This window comes from Homo sapiens, chromosome 8, assembly GCF_000001405.40.
Source record: "Homo sapiens chromosome 8, GRCh38.p14 Primary Assembly".
NCBI classification, from domain to species: Eukaryota; Metazoa; Chordata; class Mammalia; order Primates; family Hominidae; genus Homo; species Homo sapiens.
This window is the reverse complement of record NC_000008.11, coordinates 121,923,511-121,929,694: the sequence shown is the minus strand read 5'-3', so window position 1 is coordinate 121,929,694 and position 6,184 is coordinate 121,923,511. Positions and strand designations below refer to the sequence as shown.

At 39.1% G+C, this 6,184-nt stretch overlaps 2 annotated features.

The window, feature by feature from the left end:
* Nucleotides 2,181-2,681: an enhancer, noted in NCBI's record as "H3K4me1 hESC enhancer chr8:122939253-122939753 (GRCh37/hg19 assembly coordinates)". NCBI's record gives its function as "activates a minimal SCP1, AML or CMV promoter by ChIP-STARR-seq in primed H9 embryonic stem cells {active_cell/tissue: H9 hESC(primed)}" and the evidence as "EXISTENCE:reporter gene assay evidence [ECO:0000049][PMID:30033119]".
* Nucleotides 2,682-3,182: an enhancer, noted in NCBI's record as "H3K4me1 hESC enhancer chr8:122938752-122939252 (GRCh37/hg19 assembly coordinates)". NCBI's record gives its function as "activates a minimal SCP1, AML or CMV promoter by ChIP-STARR-seq in primed H9 embryonic stem cells {active_cell/tissue: H9 hESC(primed)}" and the evidence as "EXISTENCE:reporter gene assay evidence [ECO:0000049][PMID:30033119]".

Sequence of the window (6,184 nt, the reverse complement as noted above, 5' to 3'; positions counted from 1 at the left end):
GGAGAGAATTTGCCTAAAAATAAAGTTCAAAATGAGGAAAAAAAAAAAAAAAGCTGAGAGATAGAAAGAGATCAAGTCCTAGTGATAGTGGTAGAGTCTTTGGTCCTAGCCAAGCCTGATCATAGATCTGCCACTGGATTTTTTAAAGTTTTGGGTTATGTGAACAATTCCTTTCTGGCTGAAGCCAGTTTAAAGCAAGGTTGTATCCCTTATTTTAAAAGCCGGTAAGTTTCTGCTAATATTTCATTTTCTTTCAAATCACTAGTCTAGAGTGCACAACTAGTACTGGTTAGTTCCACCCTGTCTTCCTTCAGGTCATCCACCCTCCCTTTTTGATCGTATGTATCAGGCTGAATGTTACACAATTTTTTAAGGCAATCTCAGTGCTGTTTATCTCCTCCATAAATTAAGTTTCCTGGAACACTTAATAAAATATATGAGGAAAGAGATCGGAACTTCTCAAATGTTTTAGGCCCGATTTGTTATTTTTGTCTTTGCATGCATATTTATTTGGATAGTACATCACTGGCTGTCCTTTCAGAGTTAAAAGTGTAATCCTGGTGTGTCTGCACAACATTAAATATTTGGATGGATACAAAAAGATTCTACATCTGGTTGGAAAGTAAGAGTCAATCCAACATGTCTGGATAACACCAAACAACCAGATGTTTGACCAATTAAAAAAAAATTATTCCTGATTTGAATGGTCTTGACTGAAATAAATTGAACCAATTGAGTTACTAAAACGTGCCATGTACTGCATGAGGGATTCTCATATGTGAATTATCTATATAACTGTTATAATAATCTTGCCCAATTGACAATTACATTACCAGTTTTTACTACAGAAGAAATGGAAGCTGACTATGCCAAGAATGCACAAGTAATAAATGGCAGAGTTGGGATTCAAACTCATGCCACATTCTGGCATGTTGTTATTTTCAACACAGCCTCCACTTGTACACATTCAAAGTGCACCATGTCACCTTTAGACTTGTTTGTCATTCTAGCTGGTCAAGCCTTTCTGATGAAACATGACCTCATGTTGCTGGTGGTGTCAATTTTTTTCACATGTGACCGTTTAATTTTTGAGTTGCTCATCTGTACAGGGGTCTTTCACATCCTCTAGGGCTTCATTCTAATTCGGCATAACCCTAGACCCAAAATGTTCCAATTTATTCAATTATGTTTTTGGTGTTTGTGGAAAGAACATTTGATGTTATTAGTTTCATTTCCACTCATCTACCCCATCACTGCAATACAGAACAGATACATGAAGCAAAGCAGGCCATGCTCTATCATGTGACATGGGCATGGTCCTGAAAGAGTCTTTTCCTAAAGTCCTTAGATAGTTAAATATAATGGATACCATTATCCCCCATGATGCTCATATATTTTTTAATTACATTATTTTGCTTTATCAAAATAAATCTCTCTCAAAGTTGGCAGGAAATTGTTTCATCCATGACCTGGAGACCAAGAGTCTCTCTGTGATTCACAGGAGAATACATTAATGCTTATGCAATGCAGAACATTTGGGAGGAAAGGGCCTTTGGATAGCTATCCATTCTGGTGACCTAGAAAAATGCTGGTGTTAAAGTTTGTGTGATCTGCGTGAGGACTGATGTTCCACTTCTACACTGTCCATAGAAACCACTTTCTCCATGCCACTTAGCCTCGTCCTTAAAACTCCCAAGGCATAAAATTTTTAACTCTTCAGTTTCCAGGAATCATTGTATCACTTGATCCAAGTTAATGTCTCCTGTGTAGTCACATGTCTTTGGGGATGTGCTGCTCCTACCGCCTCAGAGTTAAGTGAACCAATGTATATCTATGGTCTAGACTTTCTCCTCTCAGATATTCTGGTTCACAAGCTCTAAAAGCCTCAGCTTTCATATACCATGCAAAGTTCTGTAACTGCTCTGGGCAAAAGGATCCCACACTCCAGAACAGAAGCATTTTCTAAGGAAAATGGGGTGAGCTATTAAATCTCTGACAGTGATGAGAACACGGTGGAAATGGATCTCTTTATAAATTACATTTCTGTATTTTTAAACTTTTAATATTAAAAAACTAACATTTAAAAAAATAAAAATAATGAAATAAAAAACTAACATTTGAAAAAAATTACAAATTAGAAGTGTGAAACATTTTATATTTAGATTAATGACAATAGCCAACACTTATTAAACACTTATTGACAAGTATCATTCTAAAATCTAAAAATCAAAATTCAAAACATATATAGTAGCTGGTTGTACAGCTACAGTATATGAGAAAATAATGTTCTGTACTATTTCACTCTTACAGATGTGGAAAGCAAGGCTGACACAGGTTGATAGTTAGCTTGGTTTTAGAAGATCACATAGAATGCATACGTTAAAGCCAGGTTTTAGACCCAAGTTTGATGGATTTTAAAGCCTGTGTTCTGAACCACTACAGTGGTCTCTGATTCATAGCATTGATACTAAATGTCCTACAGACAACGCAGGTTCAGGGTTTCTTAAAAGTGGTTCATGGCCGGGCGCAGTGGCTTACACCTGTAATCCCAGCACTTTGGGAGGCCAAGGCGGGCAGATCACGAGGTCAGGAAATCGAGACCATCCTAGCTAACACAGTGAAACCCTGTCTCTACTAAAAATACAAAAAATTGGCAGGGTGTGGTGGCGGGCGCCTGTAGTCCCAGCTACTCAGGAGGCTGAGGCAGGAGAATGGCCTGAACCCGGGAGGCGGAGCTTGCGGTAAGCTGAGATCGCGCCACTGCACTCCAGCCTGGGCGACAGAGCGAAACTCCGTCTCAAAACAAAAACAAAAACAAAAACAAAAACAAAAGTGGTTCATGAACTATGAACTATCAGCACTAGTAAATTTATTTGAACTACTCCAGAACTTCTGAATCAGAATATTTGGGTATGAGACCCAGGATGTGTATGTGACCAAGTTCCTTGAGTGATTCTTAGACACAGTAACTTTAAGAATAGATTATCATATATCCACTGTATCTAAAGGGTTTTTGCTTGTTTTGGGCTGCAACATAAATGATACTAACATGTACAACAAACTTTGATGTATACCCAATGTCATGTGCACATTTCAGGACATTCACTTCAACACAGCTCATTTCTCTCAAAAAATGTGTTAAAATAATGGTGAAAGGAGTTAATAGAGATACAACTTTGAACTTTCATTAAAAATTTTTCAGGGCCAGGCGCAGTGGCTCACACCCGTAATCTCAGCACTTTTTGAGGCTGAGGTGGGTGGATCACGAGGTCAGGAGTTCAAGACCAGCCTCGCCAATATGATGAAACCCCGTCTCTACTAAAAATACAAAAAAGTTAGCTGGATGTGGTGGCGCATGCCTGTAGTCCCAGCTGCTTGGGAGGCTGAGGTAGGAGAATCACTTGAACTCGGGAGGTGGAGGTTACAGTGAGCCTAGATCGTGCCATTGCACTCCAGCCTGGGCAACAAGAGCGAGACTCCATCTCAAAAAAAAAAAAAAAAAAATCAGATATTACAGTGTTTTAAAGGTTATCAATAATAAATAACTTGTAGTTCCCACAACTGTGTTGATACATTGAGAGTGAGGAACTCTGGTCTAGTCCAACGCAATTTTTTTTTTTTTTGAGGCATGGTCTTGCCATCACCCAGGCTGCAACACAGTGGCGTGATCTCAGCTCACTGCAACCTCCGCCTCCCAGGTTCTAGCTATTCTCCTGCCTCAGGCTCCTGAGTAGCTGGAATTACAGGCATGCAACACCACGCCTGGCTAATTTTTGTATTTTTAGTAGAGACAGGGTTTCACCATGTTGGCCAGGCTGGTCTTGAACTCCTGGCCCCAAGTGATCCACCCACCTTGGCCTCCCAAAGTGCTAGGATTACAGATATGAGCCACCACACCCAGCCCCAACATTAATTTTTTTCAAGATGAGGAAATGAAACAGAAAATTTTAGTGATTTACACAAATTCTAAAAGCTAATGAGAGACAAAACTAGAATTTAAATCCACAGATGCCTAAACCTTCAGGATATTCTGGTACCTTCTAGTACATGGCATATGGTAGGTGTCTAAATACATATTGAGATAGGAGTCTTCTATGTTGCCTAGGCTTATCTTGAACTCCTGCCCCCAAGCAACCCTCCCACCTCAGTTTCCTGAGTAGCTAGAACTATAAGGCTTGTGCCACCCTGCCCGGTCCTTATTTATTGGTATTGAATTTATATAACTGTCTTTTAACTCTGGCAGTTCATTTAATATTTGAGTGAAAGAAATTGGAATCAATCTGTGGATACTCTTGGGCCCATATGTGTGAGCTGTGAGATATAATTGTTTAGGCAATAAAAATGCTATGGCCTCAGATGAGTTTTAAAACTGGATTCAATGAATGTAATTTGCACTTGGGGTTGGAGTTTGCTGTAATTTACCTCATTTCATGTAGATTATGACTGAAGAAAGATGAGTCCAGATCACTTATGACTGAAAAAGACCATAGAACATATTGGGAAAAACTCAGCATGGAACCAAAACCAAATTACTAGTGTAGAAATCATGAAGCAGGGTGTATTAGTCAGTTCTGGTTGCCATAACAAAATACCATACACTGAGTGGCTTGAACAAGAATTTGTTTGTCATGGTTATGAAGGCTGGAAAGTCCACGATCAAGATGCCAGCAGATGCAGGACCTGCTTGGGGTTCACTTCCTGGCATCAGACTGCTGCCTTCTTGCTGTATCCTAATATGGAAGAGAAAGATAAAGGAAGCTCTCTTTTCTTTTAAGGGCACTAATTCCATCATGGGGGCCCCTACCCTCATGATCTCATCTAAACCTAATCACTTCCGGAAGGTCTCATCTCCAAATACCATCACCTGCAAGATTAGGGGCTTAACATACGAATTTTGGGGAATACAATTCAGTCCATAGCATATGGGATGGTTCCGGAATATCTATACAGCATCCCAGAAAACTAGAAGTGACAGACTACAAGTAAGAAGAGTGTGAGGTCCTAGTTTTCTACTGAAGGAAGATGTACTAGAAGATATGAAAAAATGAAAAAAATGGCACATCAAAATTTAAATAAGTATCATTAAAATAGTGATATTTAACAATAATTGTCATCTAATAATTACCATCTGTCAATCCTTCACATGAATTATTTTAATAAAACCATAATAGACCTATTAAGTAGATACTAATATTATTGTCACTTTACAAATGAACAAATTAGCCCTAAATAATGCAACTACTGTGCGCCAGACTGAGTCTAAAACCTACGCTATTGCAAATTTCTATAACATAAACTTCTAGTACTTTAAATTTCAATATACCAGCTGTAGAGACACTCACTCTTGCTTGACCATGTCTAGTAATATGGAGGCAATTCTCTTTTGAGGTTGCCTATTCTCCTTTAAAATATTAATGCTATGGTTCCTGATACACACAAGAAGAATTAAGCTGATTTCTTTTTTATATAGCAAAGCTCTAGATATCTGAATGTAGCCATAATTATCCCACCCTATTCAGTTTATCCAACTAATGGGTTCTCGTCTTCAAGCTTCATTTATCCTACATCTGCCAACATAACTCATAGAATATTATTAATTAGCCAGTCAATCCCCCGGAATAATCTTTTATTTATTTATTTATTTATTTATTTGAGATGGAGTCTCACTCTGTTGCCCAGGCTGGAGTGCAGTGGGACGATTTTGGCTCACTGAAACCTCTGCCTTCTGGGTTCAAGCTATTCTCCTGCCTCAGCCTCCTGAGTAGCTGAGACTAAGGGCAAGCATCACCATGCCCAGCTAAATTTTTGTATTTTTAGTAGAGACAGGGTTTCACTATGTTGATCAGGCTGGTCTCAAACTCCTGAGCTCAAATGACCCTCCTGCCTCAGTCTCCCAAAGTGTTGAGATTACTGGCGTGAGCCACTGTGCCGGGCCTGGATAATCTTCTTTGAAACACCTTCATCTTGATTTTAGTCTCCAGAAATGAAAATGCTCTGGACATACCAATACTTTAGATACAAACAGAGCAGAATGGAGGGGATAGATGGTCACATCTTTCCTGAGTGTGGTGAGCATACTCTACATCACAGTTGGGCTTTGACAATTCTATTTTCATCTTCCCTGATCATAACTCTATAGTGTCAGCTCTCCTTGCTTTATGACCAAACCACAGCAGATTAGGCT